Source organism: Homo sapiens, chromosome 5, assembly GCF_000001405.40.
Source record: "Homo sapiens chromosome 5, GRCh38.p14 Primary Assembly".
Classification (NCBI taxonomy): domain Eukaryota; kingdom Metazoa; phylum Chordata; class Mammalia; order Primates; family Hominidae; genus Homo; species Homo sapiens.
Genome location: NC_000005.10, coordinates 112,907,794 through 112,935,087, shown reverse-complemented (window position 1 = coordinate 112,935,087; position 27,294 = coordinate 112,907,794). Strand labels below are relative to the sequence as shown.

General features: G+C 42.6%; 1 protein-coding gene and 1 long non-coding RNA gene across 3 annotated transcripts in view, besides 3 other annotated features; one reads left to right on the top strand and one right to left on the bottom strand.

The window, feature by feature from the left end:
- Positions 1–5: 5 nt before the first annotated feature.
- Positions 6–12,701, bottom strand: LOC105379123 (uncharacterized). 2 transcript variants are annotated; one of them, XR_948675.3, is made up of 3 exons: positions 11,432–12,701; positions 2,092–2,203; positions 6–1,428 (listed from the first exon to the last, which is right to left on the bottom strand). It is a non-coding gene; the product is annotated as an uncharacterized LOC105379123 (long non-coding RNA). The 2 variants fall into 2 exon arrangements; XR_948676.2 differs by lacking the exon at positions 11,432–12,701 and adding an exon at positions 9,662–9,893 and having other exon boundaries at positions 827–1,428.
- Positions 11,339–11,458: an enhancer, noted in NCBI's record as "active region_22913". NCBI's record gives its function as "activates an Ori minimal core promoter by ATAC-STARR-seq in GM12878 lymphoblastoid cells {active_cell/tissue: GM12878}" and the evidence as "EXISTENCE:reporter gene assay evidence [ECO:0000049][PMID:35858748]".
- Positions 12,591–12,860: a silencer, noted in NCBI's record as "silent region_16240". NCBI's record gives its function as "represses an Ori minimal core promoter by ATAC-STARR-seq in GM12878 lymphoblastoid cells {active_cell/tissue: GM12878}" and the evidence as "EXISTENCE:reporter gene assay evidence [ECO:0000049][PMID:35858748]".
- The window catches only part of REEP5 (receptor accessory protein 5), a 45,843-nt gene continuing 31,409 nt past the window's right edge, over positions 12,861–27,294 (top strand). Inside the window, exons 1-2 of the mRNA NM_005669.5 lie at positions 12,861–13,015; positions 13,832–13,925. Coding sequence (NP_005660.4) covers positions 12,898–13,015; positions 13,832–13,925 — 212 coding nt within the window. The 5' untranslated portion in view covers positions 12,861–12,897. The remainder of the gene's footprint in view (positions 13,016–13,831; positions 13,926–27,294) is intronic.
- Positions 13,221–13,670: a silencer, noted in NCBI's record as "silent region_16239". NCBI's record gives its function as "represses an Ori minimal core promoter by ATAC-STARR-seq in GM12878 lymphoblastoid cells {active_cell/tissue: GM12878}" and the evidence as "EXISTENCE:reporter gene assay evidence [ECO:0000049][PMID:35858748]".

The window sequence follows — 27,294 nt, the reverse complement described above, 5'->3', positions numbered from 1 at the left end:
ATCACTTGAACCCAGGAGGCAGAGGTTGCAGTGAGCCAAGATCATGCCACTGCACTCCCGCCTGGATGACAGAGTGAGACTCCGTCTCAAAAAAAAAAAGTCTCTGCTATTGCTTTACTAATACCTGGAGTTCCACCATTAGTTTCACAGCTTCAAATTTAAGGCTTCCTTTCTCTAAAAATGCAAACACGTCTGAGAAAGATAGTAGAATACAATGTGTTCAGCCATATAGTCTTTTACACCTTAGTATGAATTAACTATTGGTTTACTCCCAACTTGTAGCTAATTAAGAAGAGTTTTTGATAAGAGGAGGAAATCAAGAGGCCAAAGAACAGTAGGATACTGGCCTTATGGGTGTGTAAGTGTAGAAAATTCAGGAAGCTGACTTTAGGAAGGAAGCTAAAATGTGTAAATTTCTTTGGGCAGGAAGTAAATCTTGTTTATCCTTGTGCATAATGTTGGAATATCACAGCCAGTATAGATGGGTATAGAACAGATGAGTTAATGGATAAACAGCTCTGCTCACTTCATAGCTTTTGCCTAGGGGTTGCTCTGCCCAAAGCTGTAGTCTCAGGGTTATTTTGGGGTGACTGCTACCCTGCTACTCTGGCTTCCTTTTCTTCAGAATTACTCATGTGGGATGGTGATATGGTTTGGCTGTGTCCCCACCCAAATCTCATCTTGAATTGTAGTTTCCATAATCCCCAAGTGTCATGGGTGGGACCCAGTGGGAGATAATTGAATCATGGGGGTGATTACCCTCATGCTATTCTCATGATAATGAGTAAGTTTTCACAAGATTTGATGGTTTTATAAGGGACTCCCCGCTTCACTTGGTTCTCATTCTCTCTCTTGCCAGCATGTGAAGAAGGATGTGTTTGCTTCCCCTTCTACCATACTTGTAAATTTTCTAGGTGTCCCCAGCCCCACAGAACTGTGAGTCAATTAAACCTCCTTTCTTTGTAAATTACCCAGTCTCAGGCAGTTCTTTATAGCAGCATGAGAATGGACTAATACAGATGGTATGCCAGAACCTCATTGTTAACAGATGTTGGATCACTAGTATAACAAACAATTGCTAACTGCTAACACATTTTGCACTAAAACATTTTTAGAGTTAAACACATTTAGAGGAAAACAATAAAATGTCTATTTATACAGTTTTAAGTGTCTCCTTATATAATAAAAACATTATCATCATCAGATGCTTGGTCAGATCATTGACCAGCTCTGTCTCCCATTCCCTATGAGTCTGACATTTCATAATTGATACCACTGGTGAAATACTGGGAGACTGGGAGATGAAGATAAACAGTGGATTTTCCCTCCACTGTTTAGTTTTTCCACTGTTAGTATTTATGAATTTATTACATAATTTAGCAAAATGATGACTCAACCATGAAGCCAGTGCTCCCTCAACTGCTGGATCTGTGGGAAAGGGAAAAGAAAAGCTAATGAAGTTAAAAAGAATTTACTGCTAGCAAAGTCACAGGTAAAGAGAGAACAAAGGATATATGATAAAAACATAATCACATTGAGTTTATCAGTTATCAAATTTATTGATAATAGTTTTTTCTTTAGTGATAAGAAAAATATAAATATTAGGTTAAGATATTAAAGTTTCAAACTCTTAATGACACATAGCAAATGTTGCTGTGGTTATAATCTGTGAGATCCATAGAGCTTGGACCTAATCTATATTGGTTCCTGGTGTATCTTCAGTGCCTAGCAGATAGTAGGTGCTCAGTGAATAGTTGTTAAATGAATGAATGAATGAATGAATGAATGAATATTAAATGCTGGTGACTCAGTAGCCTTCTTTAAAGAAGTGTAAAACCTTTAACAAATTATATCTAGATAATTAGGTCCAATGCTAATGAGAAGGGCCTTCGAGGATGAAGGAATGCATTCTGGAATCTATTTTATACTTGACAAAAACAGCAATGACTATTTCTTGGTCTCAAACTAAGTCACCCTGAAAAATCTACCCATGACCAATTTTCCTATGCTGAAAGACAGGCTGGGCTGTCTACACCAAGTAGATATAATTGATATAATTTTTACTAGTACAATCCTAAGATAATTGCTTACCTTTTTACTTTCTTCTGTCAGTGTAGGTGCAATCTAAGGCAAATGGAAAGAACTCACACCATATAAACTGATGCTGGTCTTCAGTCCAAGGTGACTTTTAAAAATTTTTCCTCTGAATAAATACAAATTGGAAAAGTGGTTCCAGTTAACTATAAAAATAATGTATTTAAAAAGATTACTCTGAAATTAAGCCAATGTTGTTTTCTGTATTAGTTTATTAAGAAAACTGCCTATCCTCCACTTAATTTTGCAAGTTGCGAACTTGATGTGAAATAATCGAAGTAAAACGGTTTTCCTACATGTTAAAGACAGGTTGTAAGTAATCACATTTCCAAAGAATCCAGAAATGGAGACTCTCCCTTTAATCCATTTCATATGCCAGTGTGTTGGGTTATAAACATACCAAATACACATGTGATATAGACTGGGTATATTGTATTAAACACTAACTCAGTTACTATTGTACAAAATTAGAAGTTACAGTTATCACTATTGATGTTTCAAGTCCAAACTATTTGCATAAGAATGACTATCAGGCCAGGCACAGTGGCTCACATCTCCAATCCCAGCACTTTGGGAGGCTGAGGCAAGTGGATCACCTGAGGTCAGGAGTTCGAGACCAGTCTAGGAAGAAGGTGAAACCTCATCTCTACTAAAATTACAAAATTTAGGTGGGCGTAGTGGCATGTGCGTGTAATCCCAGCTACTCAGGAGGCTGAGGTAGAAGAATCGCTTGAACCCAGGAGACTGGAGGTTGCAGTGAACTGAGATCACGCCATTGCACTCCAGCCTGGGCAACAGAGCGAGATTCCATCTTAAAAAAAAAAACAAAAAACCATCAAAAGTATAAAATTAGAGTCTCACTTGTGACTTTCAGTAAATTCTACCCTTGATCTTAGCCAAAAGGCGGAGAAGCAATGACTTTCAGTAAACTCTATAAAGGTGGTTAAGATGATGCATATAATAGTTGGTGCTGTTTGGAAAGAGTATATATTGTAATTTTTTTAGACTAATGAATTCTCACTTTTAGTAGGGTGTTTTTGTTATGGCTGTGAACAGATAAAGATGTGCTGGGAACAATGGTGTGAAAAAAACAAAAACAAGCCTGTCCTCCCAAACCTTATTCCAAATCCCCCAACACTAACTAGTTATAAATCTCCATCAGCATGGACTTTAGGGAGACTAGACTGGGTAAAATGCAAAAGGCTATGTCATCAATCAATTCTCTCCTAACTGCATGACAGAGCTCATCATAAAGCAAAAGTTATCTATGTAATGAAAGGAAGACGCACGTCCTTGAGTCAACCAGTGTGGTCACAGCATGATTGATGTCCAAGAGCTAGAGGAACATGGGCCAAAACTCATCCAAAATAGGCTGAAAGTCAGAGACTGAGGAGAGACAGGAAGCATTAAGAGACTGCTAAGTGATAAAGAGCTGCATAAATCAGCTTGCTGCATGTCAGAGAACAGCTTGACTTTGACCTGACATTTGTTTGTAGGTCAATTCCTTGCTCACATCTGTGTAGGCCTGGAGGGTCCCTTTCACTTGGCCAAGGGTTAATCCAAGGATCCTAGACAAAACTGAAAAATAAGCAATTCTGTTTCACTACTTTGTACCTTGGAAAACACTACTCCTTTAATCCTCAGGTACTTAGTGACCCCTGACTCCAACAAAATATGCTGTCAGCATCTTCATACAAATTGTCTAACACAAAATAGGTGCTCAGTATACATTTTCTTTTCCTCCTTCTTTCCCATAGTCAAATTGTTGATGACAATGTGCTCTTATTTTTGCCAGAGTATTTTGATTTTCACAGATACCAAATCCTTGAATCAAAAGAATAAGAGAAGATAGTATAATTTTGGGCATAAACTCTTGTTAGTGTCTACTTCATTGATGTATGTGCCCTTCAGATAGGCACTCTGTGAAGTGCTTTACGTGGAGTATCTCATTTATTCCAACAATTATATGAGGTAGATACTAGCATTATCTTTGTTTTACAGGCTGAGAACAGTGGGGCTTTTGCAGGTTGAGAACTTTCCCACAAGTGCACAGCTAGTAAGTAAGGGATCCAGGGTATCTGCTCCAGGGCCTGTGCTTTGACCCTGTGCCATGTCCTGGGATGGCGCTTGATGTGAGTGAAAGGACTTACACCAGTTGTCTGATCTCAATATGTTCATTCTTTCCAGGGAACTTGATGCTGGTTATGGGTCCCCCATGTAAGGCTAGTGTAGTAGGCAGAATAATGACTTCCATCTCCACCCAAAGATATCCATGCCCTAATATCCAAGCCTGTGAAGATGTTACTTTGCATGGCAAAAGGGACTTTACAGATGGGATTAAAGTTATGTAGACTAATCAGGGAGATTGACTGGGTGTGGTGGCTCACACCTGTAATCCCAGCACTTTGGGAGGCTGAGGTGGGTAGATCACGAAGTCAGGAGTTCGAGACCAGCCTGACCAACATGGTGAAACCCTGTTTCTACTAAAAATACAAAAAAAAAAAATACAGCCGGGCATGGTGGCGCACGCCTGTAATCCCAGCTACTCAGGAGGCTGAGGCAGGAGAATTGCTTGAACCCAGGAGGCAGAGGTTGCAGTGAGCTGAGATCGCGCCACTCCACTCCAGCCTGGGTGACAGAGTAAGATTTCGTCTCAAAAAAAAAAAAAAAAAAAAAGATCTGGGAGATTATCCTGGTACCTGGGTGGGCCCAATCTAATCATATGAGTTCTTAAAAGTAGAAGCAGAAGGCAGATGAGTGAGAGAGATGAGATGAAAGAAAAGGAACAGAGATTTGAAGTATGAGAGGGATTTGACTGCTGCTGGCAGTGGCTTTGAAGATGAGGAAGGAAATGGGGACTTGAGTCCTATAACCACAAGAAACTGAATTCTGCCACAACCCAATTAGCTAAAAAACATGAATCTTTCTTTAAGCCTCCAAAAAGGAACAAAGCCCTGCTGACAGCACCTTGATTTTAACCCAGTAAGATTGACACAGAGCACTGCAACATAAAAAATTTGTGTTGTTTTAAGCCATCAAGTTTGGGATAATTTGTTACAGTAGCAATATAAACTTAATACAACTGCTTAGTTTCTTTTTCTTTTCTTTTTTATTTTTATTTATTTTTTCTGAGACAGGGTCTCACTCTGGTGTGATCATAGCTCACTGCACTCTGGACCTCGCTGGCTCAAGCCATTTTCCTGCCTTAGTCTCCTCAGTAGCTGAAACTGCAGGAGCATGCCAACTTGCCTGGCTAATTCTAAAATTTTTCTTATAGAGAGGAGATCACAAACTCCTGGGCTTAAGAGATCCTCCTGCCTTGGCTTCCCAAAGTACTGGGATTACAGGCATGAGCCACAGCACCTGGCCTGGTCAGTTTCTTTATTTATGTTAACTATATTTACCTGATGTCTCATCACGAAAGGAAGTGGGCAAAATTGTCTGACTCCTTCTGGTCCTTCTCTCACATGAAAAGAAAAGCAAAACTTCTTGCCACCCTGTAGGCTAGGAGGCAAATGTGGATTGTTCTCTATAGTTGGACCCATACCCCAGGGTGAGTGAACGCCGTATTATCCTGGTATGGAATCCAAACCCCAGGCTTTATCTGGAACTGGACTAACTGGTCTTGAGCATAGAGAAACAACCTATTAGTGACTTGTTTTCTCCTATTAGTCCACTGTGCAGATACTATTAGAGAAACGTCAAGGAGAAATAAAGGACACTTTTTTTTTTTTTTTTTTTTTGGTAAGATGGAGTCTTGCTCTGTCGCCCAGGCTGGAGTGCAGTGGCGCAATCTCGGCTCACTGCAAGCTCCGCCTCCTGGGTTCACACCATTCTCCTGCCTCAGCCTCCCGAGTATCTGGTACTACAGGTGCCCGCCCCGAGGCCCAGATAATTTTTTGGTATTTTTAGTAGAGACGGGGTTTCTACATGTTAGCCAGGATGGTCTCCATCTCCTGACCTCGTGATCTGCTTGCCTCGGCCTCCTGAAGTGCTGGGATTACAGGCGTGAGCCACCGCACCTGGCATAAAGGACATTTTTAAACCTGGTGAGAAATCTCTAGATTTGTGTGCAATAGCAATGACATATTAGTAATTTCACATAAAAATACTTTTGCTAAACTAAAGGATATTTCCATGTTGGTTTATTCTCAACTGTGAGCACTAATTTTTAAAAATCAACTTCCTGTTTGATAAGGGGAGAAATACATTAAAATGCTTTGTCCATATTTTCAGTAGAAAATGTTTAAGAATAGGACAAATGAGGTAAAGAAAATGTAATTCAAATATATTCAATGAAACATGGTGATTTTCACATTTTATTTCCTTCAATGCTCTTTCTTAAATTACATTCAGACTCTACATTTTCCTCCCATCGTCTGGCAAGTCCGTGTCTCAGGTTTTGTTTACTCTGTCTTTTTCCCTTTTTATTCTGATGACATGTCATCATAAGCCTCCTGCAGCAGAGGGAGGGTGTATGTGCCAACAGGGCTGTGTCTGCAGGGGCTGAGGGTCTCCTGCCTGTCTCATTGGTGCCATACCAGGGTACCCTACAAATGCAGGGGTGGGGGAAAGGAAGGAAGAGATTACCTGACAAATTATGCTGTACCTCTTCTTCCTAACATGAGTAAGAACAAATGTGTTTGATGACTTCAACTTGTTTTCTTACCCTGAAGAAACAGTTTGTGTAGAACAAAAGTGACCTGATCTGAGTTCTCCAGCAGAATTTTCTTCTCTAGCTCACAGAGGGTATAATAATAGTATTTGCCTCATCCCAAGTCAGTTCAACTTCCTCCTTAGAAACTGCCAAAGTTGGCCAGGTGCAGTAGCTCATGCCTGTAATCCCAGCACTTTGGCAGGCTGAGGCGGGCGGATCACAAGGTTAGGAGATCGAGACCATCCCGTCTAACACGGCAAAACCCCATCTCTACTAAAAATACAAAAAAAAAAAAAATTAGCCGGGTGTGGTGGCGGGTGCCTGTAGTCCCAGCTACTCAGTAGGCTGAGGCAGGAGAATGGCATGATCCCAGGTGGCAGAGCTTTCAGTGAGCCAAGATTGCGCCACTGCACTCCAGCCTGGGGGACAAAAAAAAAAAAAATTGCCAGTGTCAACCGGTTCCAGGCCAACCTTCTTCACAGCCTCCAAAACAGATCTCATCTATCTAGTTCCCAGATCTAACAGCATCTGGCACACAGGATATATTTAGTAAATATGAGTAAGTGAATAGTTTGAGACCTTAGGCAGGGTTCTGGGTTCTTATTTTCTGCATCTCTTTCCTCTGCTATGAAAGAATCTAAGGTTTACAGTGCTGATGGGATAAACTAGGATCCCATACTCCCCGAATCTGATTGTAATTTACTAAAGTCAAGAATAATGTAATATTTCTCTATCTCAATTTTAGAGGCTGGGCATGATGGCTCACTCCTGTAATCCCAGCACCTTGGCAGCCTGAGGTGGGAGGATTGCTTGAGCTCAGGAGTTCAAGATCAGCCTGAGCAACATGGTGAAATGCCATCTCTACAAAAAATACAAAAATTAGCCAGGCTTGGAGGCATGTGCGTGTAGTCCCAGCTACTTGGGAGGCTGAGGTGAGAGGATGGCTTGAGCCTAGGAGGCAAAGGTTGCAGTGAGCTGAGATTACACCACTGCACTCCCGTCTCGGTGACAGAGCCAGACCTTGTCTCAAAAAAAAAAAAAAAAAAAAAAAAAAAATTACACCTAGCTGTGTTTTTTTTCTTTCTTAAATTATTTAAACACTTATTTTGCATCAAGTACTCTTCTAAAAACATTACAAATAGTAACTCACCTAACCATGATGAGAACTCTGTGAAATAGGTACTATTTTTATCCTTGTTTTACAGATGAGAGACCAGAAGCACAGAGAGCTTATGCAACTTGCCCAAAGTCACATAGCTAAATGGTAGAGCTGGGATTTAGCTCATACAGACTGAATCCAGAGATAGAACTCCACACTATGCCTCACTATACTGCTTTGCCTCACCATTGGTTGAATGCTTGAAGAAAGAAGAAATTTGGAATCTATGTCAAGAGAAAATTGAAAAGAGCAATATTTACAGAAAGAAAGCCAAGGGCTGGGCACAGTGGCTCACATCTATAATCCCAGCACTTTGTGGGGTCAAGGTGGGAGGATTGCTTGAGCCCAAGAGGTCAGGGCTCCAGTGAGCCATGATGGTGCCGCTGCACTCCAGCCAGGACAACAGAGTAAGATCCTGTCTTGAAAAATAAAAAAATTAAAAAAAAAGGAAGAAAGGAAGAAATGCAAATGAACAATATGTTTCTAGATATTCCATGCATAGTTAATGTAGTACAAATGTTGCCACTGCATGAAATGTAGTGACAAAAACCTAGGTTGATTTGGATACCTAACTTAAAAGGATTTTGCTCCTTTGCTAAAATAAATAAATAATAAATAAAACAATCAAATTGTGAGGCTGGGTGTAGCGGCTCATGCCTGTAATCCTAGCACTTTGGGAGGCTGAGATGGGCGGATCACTTGAGCTCACAAGTTTGAGGCCAGCCTGGGCAACATGGCAAAACTCCATCTCTACAAAAAAGTACAAGAATTAGCTGGGTGTGGTGGTGCACACCTGTAGTCCCAGCTACTTGGAAGGCTGAGGTGGGAGGATGGCGTAAGCCCAGGAGGTGGAGGTCAGTGAGCCAACATTGTGCACTGCACTTCAGCCTGGGTGATACAGTCAAACCTTGTCTAAAAAAAAAAAAAAAAAAAAAAAAAAATCAGGACCGGCACTGTGGCCACCTGTAATCCCAGCACTTTGGGAGGCTGAGGCAGGCAGATCACTTGAGGTCAGGAGTTCAAGACCAGCCTGGCCAACATGGTGAAACCCCATCTCTACAAAAAAATACAAAAATTAGCCAGGCGTGGTGGTGTGCACCTGTAGTCCCAGTTACTCAGGAGGCTGATGCACGAGAATCATTTGAACCTGGGAGGCTGAGGTTGCGGTGAGCCAAGATCATGCCACTGGACTCCAGTCTGGGTGACAGAGGCAGACTCCATCTCAAAAAAAAAAAAAAAATCAAATTATGAATCACTTTAAGTATTCAAAAACAACCCCAACTTAATATACATACTGTACTCAGTAGGAAATTATACAAACTCACAACTGGTTTGAAGTTTACAGTTCAGTTATTCTGCTAAGCAGCTGTACTAGTTTCCTAGGGCTGCTGTAACAGTCTCACAAACTGGGTAGCTTAAATAATAGAAATTGAGGCCAGGTGCAGTGGCTCATGCCTGCAGTCCCAGCACTTTGGGAGGCCAAGATGGGGAGATCACTTGAGGTCAGGAGTTTGAGACCAGTTTGGCCAGTGTGGTGAAACCCCATCTCTACAAAAAAAAAAAAAATTAGCTTGGCATGGTGGCACACACCTGTAGCCCCAGCTACTTGGGAGGCTGAGGTGGAAGAATTGCCTGAACCTGGGAGGTGGAGGTTGCAGTGAGTGGAGATTGTGTCACTGCAGTCCAGCCTGGGTGACCCAGTGAGACCCTGTCTCTAAATAAATAAATAAAACAGAAATTTATTATCTCACAGCTCTGGAGGCTGGAAGTCCAAGATCAAGGTCTCAGCAGGATTGGTTCCTTGTGAGGGTTGTGAGGGAATGATCTGTTCCAGGACTTTCTTCTTGGCTTGTAGATGGCCATCTTCTCCCTGTGTTTCTTCACAGTCTTCCCTTTATATGCATCTGTCTCCGTCCAAATTTCACCCCCCCTTTTTTTTTTGAGACAGAGTCTCGCTCTGTTGCCCAGGCCGGAGTGCATTGGCTTGATCTCGGCTCACTGCAAGCTCTGCCTTCTGGGTTCACACCATTCTCCTGCCTCAGCCTCTTGAGTATCTGGGACAACAGGTGCACGCCACCACGCCCGGCTAATTTTTTGTATTTTTAGTAGAAATGGGGTTTCACCGTGTTAGCAAGGATAGTCTCGATCTCCTGACCTCGTAATCCACCTGCCTCGGCCTCCAAAGTGCTAGGATTACAGGTGTGAGCCACCGCGCCTGGCCAAATTTCCCATTTTATAAGGACAACAGTCACACTGGATTGAGGTCCACCCTAAGGAGTTCATTTGAATTTGACTACCTCTTTGAAGACCCTATTACCAAATAAGATCACACTCTGAGGTACTGTAGGTTAGGATTCCAACATGTCTTCTTTAGGGAGGTAGAATACAATTCAACCCATAATAGCAATGTAATATAGGGGTAAGAGCCTGATTCTGAATTCTAGCTCTGCCACTTATTGTGATATGGGAACTCACTATGTCTCATTTTTTTTTTCCTTAAATGAGGATGAAACAGGTAGCATCTTCCTCATGCAGCTGTGAGGATTAAATGAACTAGTCCACGTAACACTTGGAATACTGGGTGGTACAACACATGTTAGATATTCATTCATTCATTAATTCAACAAATAGTTATTGAACAACTACTAAGTGCCAGGCACTGTTCAATGTGCTTAAAATATTGAAGCAAATAAAATAAGCAAAAATGTCTACCCTCACGGAGCTCATAATCTAGTGAGGAAAGAAAGATAATTTAAAAATAGAACATGGTCTGGCATGGTGGTGGCTCATACCTGTAATCCCAGAACTTTGGGAGGCCAAGGTGGGCAGATCACAGAGTTCAAGACTGGCCTGGGTAACATAGTGAAACCCCATCTATACTAAAAACAGAAAAAATTAGCCGGACATGGTGGCACACGGCTATGGTCCCAGCTACTTGGGAGGCTGAGGTGGGAGGATGGCTTGAGCACAGCAGGAGGTCGAGGCTGCGGTGAGCTGTGACCACGCCTCTGTACTCCAGCCTGCGTGACAGAGTGAGACAGTCTCAAAAAAAAAAAAAAAAAAGTAGAACATAATGCCAGACAGTAATAAATTCTATGGAGAAAAATCAAGCTAGAGACCACTGGGGGTTGCAATTTGAGATTAGGGGTACCATTTGAACAAATATCTGAATAATGGAAGGGGACAGTTAAATGGTTAACTGGGGAAAGATACTTTCAGATAGAGGAGGGTTTCTGGACTGTCACATTATTGACATTTGGGGCTGGATAATTCTTTGTTGTGGGGGCTGTCCTGTGTGTTACAGGATGTTTAGCAGCACCCCTAGTCTCTAACCACTAGATGCTAGTTGCACTTGCCACCTCCTGCTCTCCTTGTGTGACAATCTGTTTCACAACGAAAGTATCTCTAGACATTGCTACTCCTCCCCCCAGGAGGAAGAAGGGGAGAGGAAGTGCTCCTGGTTGAGAACCACTGAAATAGAAGAAAAGTGAACGAACGCCCAGAGGCAGGAATGGGCTTACCTTGTCTGAGGCACAGCAAGGAGGGAGGCAGTAAGGGAAGACATCAGAAAGGGGAGGGATGAACCATGTCACCTGTGACCCTGATGCCCTCCTTCAGGCAGATAGGAAGTTGCTGGAGGGTTGAGAACAAAAACATAGCACAACTTGACGCACATTTTAAAACAGATTCTACTGTCTGCCACATTGAGAATTAACTGTAGGTGAAAAGACAGAAGTAGACAGCAGGTTGTTTCACTTGTTCACTGATTTGGCTGGGTGGTGGTAGGAACAGCTGAGAAAGCTGAGCTAAGAAGCTCTGAGGAAGAAAGGAGGAAGGAGAATTAGCATAAAAGGAAAAAGCTAGGCGTGGGCAAGATAACTTTTTGCAGAAGTGGAAGGCAGTAGGGTAATTAAGTAGATTTGAAAGCACAGAGGGGTTGTGTAGGACCAAGACAGAATGTTCGGGGCCAGTTGTGGGCAGGGCATTGAATGCTCTGCCAAGGAATGGGAGCTCTAGTCTGTTAGGATAATAATACGGAGCTTCGGACAAAAATTCTGCAGCAGTGTGCAGAATAGGAGTCAACAAGAGTAATTTTAGGAGTGTCTGGAAGTCATATGGGTGAGATAAGAGGAGCCTAGGTTTAGGTGGAGGAAGAGCATGGCCAACTCATTCTGAAGGAAGCAAAAATGAGCTCCTGCCCTAAGGCTTGGACCTTAGAATCTCCGTCTTCTTCAGAGTATTTTGACTGTAGGAAGTGCAGAGTATATTGGCTCCACAGAGAGAATTTGGACACTTGCCACAGTATCAGACACCAAGACAACGCAAGCCCACCATGAAAAGATTTAATGCAGTTTTTGCTTGGAAAAGGTGTACCCCAGGGAGGATGTGTTAGATTTCTTCAAGGGTCTTTACAAGGCAACGATTGTCTGTAGGTGAGAAAAACTGCCAAGTTAAGGCAAAGAGGGAGAAAGCAGGACTGCTTCCAAAGAGTTCTTTCACGATGCTCAAACATTTCAATTTTTTAGGTCAAAAATGCCTTAGGTTTAGCACAGCAATGTAGGTGCCAAACTCATCGCAGTGAATTGCAGGCGGGAGCAACAAGGACGCCTGCCTCCTTTCTGCCTGCTTTTTGCAATAGTCCGATTTGAGAAGGGGACCCACGAGAGACACAAAATGCACGCCCCCACGCCACATCCTTTTTACCCCGCAATGGGTTAAGACTGTCAACAGGCAGGCCACCTCGCAGCGTCCGCGGAGTTGCAGGCCCGCCCCCGCCAGGGTGTGGCGCTGTCCCCCTGGCGCTGGGCGGGGGAGGAGGGGCGCGCGGCGGCCGAGGAGGGGCGCGCGGCGGCCGGGCGGGGCGAGCGGAGGCGAGTGGAGGACGCGTAGACGCGCCGCGGTCCCCGCCTGCCGCTGCTCCGCCGCAGTCGCCGCTCCAGTCTATCCGGCACTAGGAACAGCCCCGAGCGGCGAGACGGTCCCCGCCATGTCTGCGGCCATGAGGGAGAGGTTCGACCGGTTCCTGCACGAGAAGAACTGCATGACTGACCTTCTGGCCAAGCTCGAGGCCAAAACCGGCGTGAACAGGAGCTTCATCGCTCTTGGTGGGTGGCCGGGGGTCGCCGCCGCTGGTAGGGCCACGGGAGCCGCCGCTGCCCCAGCTGCTGGGGAAGGAAGCAGGGAGAGGACTCGGGAAAGGTGGAGTCGGAGACAGACGGGACAAGCAGCATATTCAGGGATCAGGCTGGCCTCCCGGAAAGCGTGGGCATCGGAGGACCCCGCGGGGGCTGCCCAGGCTGAGGGTCGCGGGGCTGGAGGGCAGCTGCGGCGCCGGGCGCTGGCAGCTGGAAGGGCCAGCGCTGACGTATGTCTGCCCCGCGGCCCGGCGCCCTATTCCTGCTGTCCTGCGCGGTGGGCGCGGACGGCGGGGCCCCTGCGGGCGGGCGCGTTGACGGAGGTACCCGGTCCTACCCGACCCTCCGTGGAGCTCCGCCCGGAGAGGGCGCCTCTCGGGTGGGCGGGGGCTGCTACTGCAGCGTGTGCGGGAGTCCGGGCCTCTCGGGACGCTCCCCGCTGAGCGCAGCTTCCCAGGCTGGAGCGCTGCCCAGCAGGCCCTGCGAGAGGGCGGAAGCGGGTGCCTGGGACCGTCCCGGGCGCCGGGGGTTGCTGCGCAAAGCGCCGGGGCCCCCTGCGGGAGGTAGGAGAGGCACAATGGTGGGGCTGCCTGGTATCCCCAGACTTCAAGGCATAGCCCAGCGGACGCGCAGGCCCAGCTTTCGTGTGGTTTGTTTTTCTCGCTCCTTTAATCGAGTCGAGAGGAAAACTCCTACAACAGGCCCAGCCTCGCGGTGTGGGCGGCGGCTGTCCCGCGTGAACGGCTCTCATGCTGCCCGACCCACTTCTCTCCTTGTGGTCCCCAGGTGTCATCGGACTGGTGGCCTTGTACCTGGTGTTCGGTTATGGAGCCTCTCTCCTCTGCAACCTGATAGGATTTGGCTACCCAGCCTACATCTCGTAAGTGACACACCCTGCAGCCGTCCCCTTCCCTTCCTCCATTCCTCCCCGCAGGGCTGCTGCAGTAGACTGCACATCCGCAATTCCCGGGAGAAAAGTGAAAGCTCGGCGGGGAGGGATGAGGTTGGACATAAGGGGTGGGGATAGTATTCACCATTTTGGAACCTTAACTTAATCCCTATCTCTTGACGATTAGCCCAGAGGTATTTTCATTAGATTATCCTGGTGACCAGTGTCCCCTCTCTTTGGCACACTAACAGGAAAGCGCTACCACTCTGTCGTCCTCCCTTTACTGGTGGGAGGATCTCAGAAGGTACAGGGAGCTGAGCACTTCTGTCTAGTAATTATTTTAATGAGTATTTCACCATATATTTATGCACCTAGAGAGTAAAACCCTATCAATTAGGTCTTCCTTAATTCATAATTACGTTAATTGAGACAGTAGGGAGAATTTTCTCATTTTCTTTTATTTTGAAAAAGCCACATGTTACAGACAAACTTGGGAAATGCTTACCCTAGTGTAAAAACAAAAACCTTTAAAAATGCTCCATGATATAGCTCCTTGGTTATATAAGTGAGTCATTTATATAATTGAGCTACTTAAAAAATGAATTTTTACGATTAGGATCTGAATTTATTACCAAAGTTGTTTTTATTCTACAATGTGTTTATTTTTTTTAATTCTACGATTTTATTTTTCCATTCGTTCAAGTAGGAATTATTCCTCTCCAGAAATGAATTTTGTTTTGCTCTACAGTTCTTCCTAAGAAAGCCAGTGGTTTTTACCTTCATTCAGTTGGTCTCTGCTACTTTCTTCAACCATAGGGATAAAAATAAAGGAAGAAAAAATTTTCACCTAGGAGGCTAAGACACAGATAACACATTATTACAGCTTGTATCTGTCACTAGTTAGGCTAGAATTTAGTCTATGACTATAAGGGAAGAAACATGTTTTAGAAGTTAGTTCTGATTTGAGCAATTAAATTGCAGTTACCTAGTAGTTGTTACTGTGTTAGTCCGGTACAGACACTTAGTCATACTCCAGAAAGTCTAGCTACATATAGCCCTGAGGCCTACCCCGGGCTCTGCTTTATGGAGGAGACTCAAGGAAAAACGGGATTGTGTGCACAGAATAAAGCATACAGACCCCCGTGAGCAAATATTCAGGCGGTCGGTGTTACATTAGTCTAATCAAGTCTGTTCATTGCATAACCAATATGATTGTATAATTGTCCAAAAGAAAGAAAAAGTATTTGAAAATGGTGGTCTTTAGTAGCATCAAAATCCATGTTGCTTAAAGTGTGACCTGTGAACACTGTCTTAGTCTGCTTGGGCTGCTATAACAAAATACCTTAGACTGGATAATTTATAAACAATAGAAATTTATTGCTCACAGTTCTGGAGGCTGGGAAATCCAGGACCAAGGCACCAGCAGATTTGGTGTCCGGTGAGGGCTTGCTCCCTGCTTCAAAGATGGCATCTTCTCACTGCTTCCTCACATGGTAGAAGGGTCAACTGGCTCCCTCAAGCCTCTTTTATAAGGACACGAATCCCATGCATGAGGGCAGAGCTCTCATGCCTGTTTCTTTTCTTTTGAGACAGAGTCTCGCTCTATATTGCCCAGGCTGGAGTGCAGTGTCGTAATCTCAGTTCACTGCAACCGCCATCCCTGGCCGCCCCCACCCCCGCCAAATTCAAGCAATTCTCCTGCCTCAGCCTCCCTAGTAGCTGGGATTACAGGCGTGTGCCACCACGCCTGAGTAATTTTAGTATTTTTAGTAGAGATGCGGTTTTGCCATGTTAGCCAGGCTGATCTTGAACTCCTGACCTCAGGTGATCCACCTGTCTCAGCCTCCCAAAGTACTGGGATTACAGGCGTGAGCTACCACACCTGGCCAAGCCCTCATGTCTTAATTGCCTCCTAAAGGCACCACTATTTAATACTAATACATTGGGTATTAGGTCCCAACATATGGATGTTGGGGGAACACAACATTCAGACCATAGCAGTCACCTTCATTTTAACTATTCTCCATACCTCTTGTAACTCTTATGCTCCCTAGCCAGAGTTATTTTTTAAAATACAGGTTCATCTATTTAGCAAAAATCAAATGCCAGTCACATGTGTGGCACTGTGGTAGCACTTTAGATATGGCAAGAAATAAGGTAGTCATACTCTCTGTCCTTGTTGAATGAGCAGTCTACCCAGGCAAGAAATAGGCAAAGTAGTGACCGTGTGGTAAGCCCTCTAAAGTAAATAAACAGTTCTGGTAGAGAAGACCTGAGGAATGAGAAGGGGCCAGCCAAGAGCAGAGCCAGGGAGAGGGAGAAGAGTGTGTCAGGCCCTGAGGCAGCACACAGCTTAGCTCTGTGTGAGCAAAGAGTGGTGGGGGAGGCACCAGAGAGGTGCAGGTGCCAGCAGGTAGGGTCAGTGGTAGAAGTGTGCATTTCATTCCAGATGGTGGTAGGGAGTTTGCATTTTCTGATTGCCTTGGATGGGTTTTAAATAGGGGGTGACATGATACGATTTATATTTTAAGGTCACTTTGGCTGCTGTGACCTCTGTAAGGAGTTCGCGATCTTGCCAAACTATTGCCAGTAATTTACTTCCTTCCTTTCTCACCTTTCAGCCTTTCTCTTGCTGTTTCCTCTCCTTGGGCCATCACAAGAAGGGGAGTAGTGTCAGTATTGGGTCAAGAGACTGCAGGATGCAAAGATGAAATTGGGAAAAGCTCACTTGGCTTCCTAGCTTTTCTCCCTTTGGACTCCCTTTGGAAGTCTGTGAGTGAAGCTCAGGTGCACCTGGCTCCTGGTCAGGGTCTGCTGCACGTTGGAGCATGTAGATGGTTGAAGACTTGCCCAGTGCTCACTGGGGAGCAACCAGTACCTTATTGTATACCCCTCTTCCTACTGGTTGTTCTTTCCGTGTGCATAATTTCCCTTTGAGCTCTTTGAGAACAGGGTCTTTCATCTCTGACTTCTAGTTTCTAGAATTTTTGGCCATCTTATATAGGCAATTCGGAATCTAATTCCAGCCTTCCTTTCATCAAGAACTGTTGACATAATTACCTTAATCTCCTTACTTCCCTCTTTTACTGATAACAGGAGGCAGACTACTGGAAATGTTTATTATAAAGATAGACCTCCCCCCATTGCTAAGATATAATTTAGATACTTATAAATTGTACACTTTTAAAGTATGCAGTTCAGTGGCTAGTATGTTCAGAGTTGTGTAACCATCACCACTGTCTAATTCCAAAACATTTTTATCACCCCAAAGGGAAACCATCACCAATCACTCCCTATTCCTCCTACCCAGCCCCTGGAAACCACTAATCTGCATTCTGTTTCTATGAGTTTGCCTATTCTGAGCATTTCATGTAGACGGAATCATACAATATATGGCCTTTAATGTCTGGTGCAGCCCTGCTTCTAATGGGATTGCACAAATAAGAGTCCTCTGGAGGGTGTATGCTGTGCTGCACCCTCATATGTGAGTAAGTCCTCCTGGTGCAGTCCCTCCAGGGTGGGCGCTAGTGAGCCAGGGCCCTAGTCCTGTACTTGCTCCTTTGTACAAATGGAATTGTGAGGCAAACTCAGACTTTATCTTCTATTTAAGGAAAGGGGAAGGTTTGCTTTCTGTCCTACCCAGTAACTTTTTTGCTTAAAATTCTATAAAAATGTCTATTACTTTTCCTCTTTTTATTTCATATTTTCCTTAAGACTTGGGCTGCCACCTTCCTGGGACTATCAGAGTTGGGCCTTAAAGATCAAACAGGTAGTCCAGTTCCTTTAGTTTTAAAATGACAATTCAGGGACAGAGAAAGGTGGAGTGTGTTTCCCAAGGTCACACAGAGGCCAGGCTTGGTCTGGAACTACACAGGAATGTAAAGCACATTTAGGCATATTTTAGTGCCAATGTTAGAAAGATTAAATATGTTTAGGGGGCGGGGCATGATGGCCCACATCTGTAATCTCAGCACTTTGGGGTGCTGAGGCAGAGGGATTGCTTGAGGCCAGGAGTTCAAGACGAGAGTCCAGCACTATATATTTAATCTTTAACAACACTTTTGAAATCTCATACCCAGTTCAGTAATGTGTCATTTTAGTTTCTGTGTGTCCTCACAAGCCCATTTTAAACTTTTGCTGCTGGTGTAAAGAGTTATATTGCATTTAGCTCTTTGTATGACTCCTGAAATCTGTGTAGCATTTTATTTAACAGATATGTACATATCTCTGTCTAAGTGCTTTGCAAATATAGCTCATTTAATCCTCAGAACAACCCTATTATGTAAGTGCTATGATTATTCCCATTTTTACAGATGAGGAAACACAGAAAGAGAATTTGAATAACTTGATCAAGGTCTCACAACTAGCAGATGATGAAACTGGTATTTAAATCCAAAGAATCTGGCTCCAAATTTCATGCTTTTAATGATTACGTTATGCTACCTCCCTTGTGGCTCTTTGAATGTCCCACAAACACAACATCACCTTATGTAGAGATGAAAATTAAAAAATGTAGGCCTTTCAAAAAAACAGTTGACCCTGTCAATACATTACCTTTGTGCAGTGTATTTTTCCTCTCAAATAAGGTACTGTCATCCCAAATCATATATCTGCACACATAGGCATTGACTGTGTTTTGTAGACATTAGTTAGAATATGTTACTAACAACTTTTCTTATCTGTTATGTAGCTTTGACTTATGACAGCAGAGGCTTGCTCTGTTTTACTAGCACAAGGCCACCTGAAAATGGCACACTGAACTGGATTTCCTAAGGGGATGCAGCGTTGCCTTTAGTTCTGTTTCAAGAGACAAGTATCTCAAGGGAAGATGTTTGGGGATGACCCCTATCGAGGTCAGATCAGAAAGGGATGGCAAGAAGGTTAATTTGAAGAAAAAAAACAATGAAAATATCTACAAGAGTTGTAACACAGTTAACCACAAGTAAAAGCAACAGCATCCTCTTAGCTAAATGATGCTCAGCACACAAAGGGAGGACACATTCTGGGGAACACAAGTTAAAAAGAGTTGCAGTCTACTTGCTTAAGGTGTGCATTGACAGACTCCTAAAGAGGTTTATTACCCAGAGGAGACTTTGAGAAAGTCACCGTGGTGTGAATGACAGTTGTGAACAGACACTTTCTGTTTTGCAGCTAGTCACTGGAAGCAGAGCTGTTTCCTTAACAGTACTGGAGGATGTGTATTTGTAGTTCTCTTCTTGGACTCATTAGTAGGGGGTGTATTTGTTTTCTTGTGGGTTTTTTTTTTTTTTTTTAAATTGTAATTATGTTTTGTTCTTTTTTACTCATGAGAACTTCAGAGCAGATGTATTTTCTACTGAGCTGCCTATGTTCCCATTACACTAGCTTTTCTCTCTGGATCTATATGTGCTTTGTTAAAGTGTTGAAGAGCAGAGCAATGCATGCCTGCGCTTTGCCTTCTGGGGTAGTATGAAGCACAAGCCAATGTGGCCTTCTGGCCGATGTGCACTTGGATAAAAAATATAACAGGCATTCTGCAAACTGTGACTTAAGCAATTTACTTAAACATTTAAATCTTTAATTTACTTAATTTAAATCTGAAATCTTAAGCATTTAAACATTTAACCTTCCTCAACTTTTTTACTGTCCTTGTTTCACTTAACATTACTGCTAAGAGTGCTGGACTCTTTTAAGATGAAAGTGTTGTGGAGAAATGAAAAAGTAATAAAAATATCCTTATAACAACTTGTGACTATTTTGTAAAATAATGACAGCCAGCGTTTCAGTTAAGGTTCGCCCGCTTGCCTGTGTCATAAAGAAAATAAAGTTTTAAAAAGCAAATAAGATGAATGATTTAAATTATTTATTCATGATCAGAGTTTCTGGGCTCTAAAGCAGTTGTGGAGGAGGATCTCATTTCTAATACTCTATTCTGGAATGTTCCTTATGAGCTTTTTTTTTTCTCTTTATGAAGGCCCTGGAGATTTAGTCTATTTGTCCTTCTTTCTGTCGTAGCCTCCCTCATCTCCTTCTGACCTGGACTTCTCTTTTTCAGGACTGACTTTGAATGAGGACTCAGTTTTCAACTTAATTTTTTCACATGGCATTTAAAACAAGTATAAATACAAATATAACATGTTAAGGTATTTAGTGGTGATTCATAACATTAACAATTAATTTTGGGGAAGTATGAATTAATATGGCAGAAGTTTTAAAACAATTTCAAAATTGTGAATGAAATTACTTTTTGTAGCAGCTGAAATATAAGTGGGGGCTGTAGAAACGTACCCTGACTTCATTCTGTCACTTGCACACTTTCCTGATTCCAGGGAGTGGAGCTTATCAGTCACTCTGAGTCATGTGTCTACTATATATATCCTGCAGCCTCTGATAGACCAAGTGATCTAGTTAAGGGATCGCTCACTTGTCTAGACTGCGGTCCGCATCTAAGGTGGCCCTCCTTTACCTAGGAAAAGGCAGCTTAGGTTGTTCCCCTTCTAAGTTGTGAGGTTACTTGAGATTAAGTTAAACTTTATGATACCAATCTGACACAGATACTTATAGAACCACTGGTTTTATTGACAAAGGGTTGTCCCAGTGGGATTTGCATCTGCTCTTTTATTGCTCCTGGCATTAATCTTTTTTACCATCAATCATTCAAACAGTTTTTTTGGGGGGACAGGCAGGGAGGCTGAGATGGGTGGATTGCTTGAGTTTGAGACCAGCCTGGACAACATGGCAAAACCCCATCTCTACAAAAAATACAAAAAATTAGTACACGCCTGTAGTCCCAGCTACTCCAGAAGCTGAAGTGGGAGAATCACCTGAGCTTGAGAAAGTCAAGGCTGTGGTGAGCTGTGTTGATGCCACTGCACTCAGCCTGAGTGACAGAGTGAGACCCTGTCTCAAAAAAACACACACACACTTGGGAGGCTGAGGAAGGAGAATTGCTTGAACCCAGGAGGCACAGGTTGCAATGAGCCGAGATTGCGCCACTGCACTCCAGCCTGGTTTTTTTGAGTGTGTTTTTTTTGAGACAGGGTCTCACTCTGTCACCCAGGCTGAGTGCAATGGCATGAACACAGCTCACTGCAGCCTTGACTTTCTCAAGCTCAGGTGATTCTCCCACTTCAGCTTCTGGAGTAGCTGGGACTACAGGTGTGTACTAATTTTTTGTATTTTTTGTAGAGATGGGGTTTTGCCATGTTGCCCAGGCTGGTCTCAAACTCCTGGGTGCACACACACACACACACAAACACACACACATTCAGTTTTGAGTTATAAAATGTTAGCTAAAAGGGGTCTTAGAGACTAAGCTGCTAGGGTGATAGCCACCTGTAACAGATGTGGAAATCAAGGCCACAAACTGAAGTTAATTGACATAGGTCACAGGTGTGTTGGGACCAATTCAGTCTTAAGTGTAGGGATGTCTGTCCACATTCCGCATTGTTATATTTGACTGTGACTGACTCTTCCATTTTGCATTTAAAAACAAAATGGTGGATAGTGGTAAATGAGATCACTGTAATTAAACACCAAAAGATTTGACCACTGAATGACTGCATTTTTTTCTTTATACTTCATTATAGGTATTCTATAGACTCATCTTAATTTTTTTTTTTTTTTTTTTTTTTTTTTAGCCAGGGTCATACTCTGTCACCCAGGCTGCAGTGCAGTGGTGCAATCATGACTCACTGCAGCCTTGACCTCCCAGGCTCTAGCTATTCTCACTCCACTGCCTCTGTAATCTTTTTTCTTTTCTTTTCTTTTTTTCTTTCTTTCTCTTTCTTTCTCTTTCTTTCTTCTTTCTTTCCTTTCTTTCTTTCTTTTCTTTCTTTTCCTTTCTGTCTGTCTGTCTTTCTTTCTTTCTGTCTTTCTTTCTTGATGGAGTTTCCCTCTTGTTGCCCAGGCTGGAGTGCAGTGGCGCAATCAGCTCACTGCAGCCTCCACCTCCCGGGTTCAAGCGATTCTCCTGCCTCAGCCTCCCAAGTAGCTGGGATTACAGGCATCTGCCACCAATTTTTTGTGTTTTTAATAGAGATGGGGTTTCACCATGTTGGCCAGGCTGGTCTTGAACTCATGACCTTAGGTGATCCATCTGCCTTGGCCTCCCAAAGTGTTGGGATTACAGACATGAGCCACTGTGCCCGGTCAGTCTTTCATTAGTCTTTCTCGTACTGTTTGTTGGTTTTCTCTCTTGCTTTAAAAGCACATATACTCTGCAGTGAAAAAGATATGTAACTTTCTGATCACGCATAGTTTCCTGCCTTCTTTTTTTCTATGAAGGAGAAAAATATTTTCCTTATTGGCATGGAAACGAACTAGTGTTTATGTCTTAAAATGTCTGATTCTTTTTTCCTTCTTATTTGAGGTACTGATAATAGGAAAACCATTTTGAATTACTAAGAATTCCTACATCATACTCTCTGATAAATACAGCCAAAAGCAATCCCATGCATGGTGGGCATGGAGGATGGTCAAGTTATGTGTCTGCCATAACAAAAAGGATTATAAACATTATGGTCCATGTTCTTCATATTCAATTTCCAAAGAACCTATCTTAACCTCTGGAATATTTGCTATTAAACATAAGTTACCACATTAGAAATAAAATATAAAGCAGATGGACCAGAAGATGATTCCTTTCTGTTCTTTACCAATAGGACATCTTAAAGCTTTTTATCCATATATATGGATAAAATTAAAATATATATGGGTATAAATGGATATATAGATATATTTTAATGAACTGCTTTTTTTTCCACACTGTCAGTCTCTGGTAAATAGTTGATATTGGTACAACTGGTTTGAATAATAAAGCCAATGCTGTGAAGACATACTATTACTTAATTTTATGTCATTTGGCTAGTTTGAATTGTAGCAACTGAGTTACTTATGAACCATGCACAGAACACATAGTATGTACCTATGTGTCTTAGGTGTGAGTAGCCAAAAGCATGTGTATATGGAGCTGATTATTACCTCTTGAGCAAACAGCTTAACTTTTATAAAATTCAGTTTTCTCATATGTAAAAGGTGGGGATAGGGTTGGGGGGAGTTGGGATAATATATGTCAAACGTTTAGGACAAATCAGGCATTCTGTAAGTGCTCAATTAAGGGGAGTTAGTTTCATTAACATATAAAGAGGAAAATTGACTTAATCATAGTCATAGTTCTTTAACTTTGTGTCATTAAGCTTTTCATTGATTTAAGGAAAAACCTTCCTAAGAGTATTTTCTTTCATTTATTTTTTCACTTTCATTTTTTGTTCCTTGTCTTATTATTTTTTTCCTGTACTTAAATCAGCTTAAGACATCATTATTCAAAGAATAAAACACAGTAAAGTTTTGTTCTTCCAAGTTAAAAATATGTGATATGGCTAGTGGTTTTCTTCTGTACTGGTACAATGGTGTATATGTTCCTAAGCATTGAGTATAAGTTGGACTAACAATTTTTTAATATTAAATCTTATGCATAAGAAATGTGAACTTGGTCCTAAAAGCAAGAACTCAAAACAGAAATATAAAAAGGTTGTACAGTTCACATATAAAAAAGCATTTGATCTATTTTGCATGGTAAGAACAAAATAGATCTGAATTAAGAACTTGTAAAAGTGGATGTTTTTCCAGATGGATTTATTGTGTCTGAAATAATTTGAAAAATAGTATGGAAGGTTGTCCCTTTCCTGTCTCCCTCCAAGTAAGCATTAGCTGTAAGTATTTTGAAATATTGATTGATAGATGAAACCTCAGCAAAAGAAGAAGAGCACATTTTGACCAATACCGAGCTTAAGCTTAGCTTAGAAAGCTTTTGGTGATGATGCACACCTTTTATGTCAGTTCAGTGAGCTGCAGCCATTTACAGTGGCCTAAAGAATAATGACCTTGAATTACCTCATGTAAGAAGTCTGGAGGTTGAAATTTCAAGGCGCTACAGCAGAAATCCATGCTCTTTTCCAGCGACTTTGGAGTATAATCTTCCTCGCCCACGCCTGTTTCCTTAATATATAACAAGATTGTTGCCATATAGCGCTAAGGCTTTCAAGAGCAGGAAGCTGGAAGACCTTTTATTTGTGCGCCTCTCATATTTTATCAGCAGAGGAAAATTTTGTCCCAAAGCCTTCTACCGTATTTCCTTTTCTGTTTCATTGGTCAGAACTGTGTCACATGGATACCCTTAACTCCAAGGGGGCTAAGAAAGTCAGTATCTAGCAAAAAGCAATGGGATTACCATGGTGGATTTGTACTAACTTTGATTTATCCCCTAGGCCTGGGGCAGGAGCCTAGCTTCCCTGAGTCAAGACAGATTTGCCAGGTACATGTATATAAAATCAGGGCTCTGTGGGTGAGTAGGAAGGACTGGCTAATTGATAGGCAAGGAACAGTGTCTGCTATTTCCTTGAGCAATGATAGTGACCGGTTGCTGTAATAGGATTTTTGAAGCAGCAGTGTTACCATGACAATCTGATCATGCTGGTGACCATCATTCAGCAGTGAATAGTTAACTGCCAGGCAGTGTACAATGGAGAGATTGAGCTGCAGATATAAATTTGGAAGTTATTAGCATATATATGGTATCTAGATTTATGGGGACAGATACTCTCTCCAGATCAAAACAACCAAAATGGCATGATGGTAATAAAATAGTTTTAAAAATCTGGTATTATAGAATGCCTAGGTGGTAAGTGAAGTTTTTTTTTCTCTTTTTTGTTTTTAAATGGATTTTATTTTTTAGAGCAATTTTAGGTTCACAGTGAAATTGAGCAGAAGATACAAAGATTTCCCATGTACCCACTACGCCTACACATACACAGCCTCCTCTACCATCAGCATCACCTACAAGAGGGGTATGTTTTTGTCTTTGTTTTTTTTTGAGATGGAGTCCTGCTCTGTCGCCCAGGCTGGAGTGCAGTGGCACGATCTCAGCTCACTGCAGCTCCACCTCCCGGGTTCAAGTAATTCTCCTGCTTCAGCCTCCCGAGTAGCTGGGACTACAGGTGCACACCACTATGCCTGGCTAATTTTTGTATTTTTAGTAGAGACGGGGTATCACCATGTTGGCCAGTCTGGCCTTGAACTCCTGACCTCAAGTGATCCACCCTCCTTGGCCTCCCAAAATGCTGCGATTACAGGCGTGAGCCATTGTGCCTGGTCAGAGTGCTGTTTTTTATAATTGGTGAACATACATTGACACATCATTGTCACCTAAAGTCCTTAGAGAATGTACAGCTTACTTGTGTCATGGGTCAGGGAATATCTTAGGTTTTCTGAAAGATGACACTTAATTTGGGAAGGAGATTCCAGCCCAGAATCATCTCTGCTCAACCTTGTTTTCTTCACATGTTAATGCTATTCTTTGGCCATCCTTGGTTCTTGCCTTTGCTTTCAGAAAATAGCAGCCAAGGTGTGAACAAGTAGATGGGCCAGCAAGGGTGGAGTGAACTGGTACCAGTTACTGGGGCCCAGTGTACTGGATGAGGGATGGCCAGTGAGTTGTGTTCATATATGTACCAGTCCAATGCCAATGTAAAGAATTTCTGCCATTCTACCATTGCAGAGTGGGCCTGAAAAATGTTTTCAGCAATGTTCAAATTTCTTCCCACTACCTGCAAACATGAATTTGGGGATTTCAGCTAACTTCTTACTACCTGTAGCATATGGGATTTGGAGTAGGGTATAATTAAAATTGATGGGTAACTCTAATCTCCTTTTAGCCTTATTAGCCATATAAACCCTCTGACAGCTACTTAAACAAAGAAACTAGAGTCTTCTTATCTCTCTCTTTTCTTCTTAATCTTTTATCTCCCTATAATAATAAGTTATTACTGTACTATAATTAATACCTGTTAAGGGAGTATTTACTGAGACTTTCTTAGTGCTTTACATATATTAACTACTTTAATCTTCACAACAACACAATGAGGCTTATCCATACTAGATAGGTGAACAAACTAAGGCTCAGAGAGATTGGATAACTTGCCCAGGGTCATATATCTAGTAAGTAGTAGAGCTAGAATACAGAGCTACAAACTAAGGGTGGTGAAATGCTGCAAAGCCAGAAAAGCACTGAGAAGAAATGAAGGGAAAGCCCTGGCCATTCCATAGTTCAGTGTAATCAGTAACTTATGATAGTTTGTATTATTTAAGTAGAAAGTTAAAATGAGTCAATTTCATGTGATGGGCTGTGTGGCTCTCTTTTCTCCTTGTGTGTCTCTTTGTGGGTGTGTGTGTTGAAGGCCTTTTAATGCTCTAAAACAAAACAGATTATATCTGACCATTGTTAGAGAAATTTGTAAAAAAAAAAAAAAAATCATTAGCTGGGCTGGGCATGGTGGCTCACGCCTGTAATCCCAGCACTTTGGGAGGCCGAGGTGGGCGGATCACGAGGTCAGGAGATCGAGACAATCCTGGCTAACAAGGTGAAACCCCGTCTCTACTAAAAAATACAAAAAATTAGCTGGCGTGGTCGTGGGCGCTGTCGTGGTCGTGGGCGCTGTCGTGGGCACCTGTAGTCCCAGCTACTTGGGAGGTTGAGGCAGGAGAATGGCATGAACCCGGGAGGCAGAGCTTGCAGTAAGCCGAGATCGCGCCACTGCACTCCAGCCTGGGCAACAGAATGTGACTCTGTCTTAAAAAAAAAAATTATTAGCTGTTTTCTCAAAGAGAAATTAAATGAATATAGCTGATGTTCACTTTAGTGTTTATTTTTAACAAAGCCTCATAGAGAAAACTAGTCTCATAGGAGAAAATCATTATAGAAAGTCTGATGCTCAGCCAGGCACGGGGGCTTACGCTTGTAATCTTAGCACATTGGGAGGCCAAGGTGGGTAGATCGCCTGAGGTCAGGAGTTTGAGACCAACTTGGCCAACATGGTGAAACCCTGTCTCTACTAAAAATACAAAAAAACTAGCGGGGCGTGGTGGCAGGTGCCTGTAATCCCAGCTACTCAGGAGGCTGAGGCAGGAGAATTGCTTGAACTGGGGAGGCAGAGGTTGCAGTGAGCCGAGATCGTGCCACTGCACTCCAGCCTGGGCCACAAGAGCAAGACTCCATCAAAAAAAAAAAAAAAAAACAAAAAACAAAGAAAGTCTCTGATGCTCATTCTTTTCCAAATGGAAATCTCCCCCGCCCCCTTCTTTTTTTAATCAATTTTAGTACATACTCATTGGAAAGACCTTAAGTAAAATTCTGTTATTCAGGATTAACTTTATACAATTTGAAATGTATTGCATATCTTTCTGGATATCATTCTTGGTCTGTAAACATATAAAAACATCTTTTTTTAAACAAAAAATTAGAATTCACTTTTTACACTCAACACTGTATCTTGGACATCTTTCCCTGTCAATACCCTTTTTAAAGGCTTCAGAATATTTCATT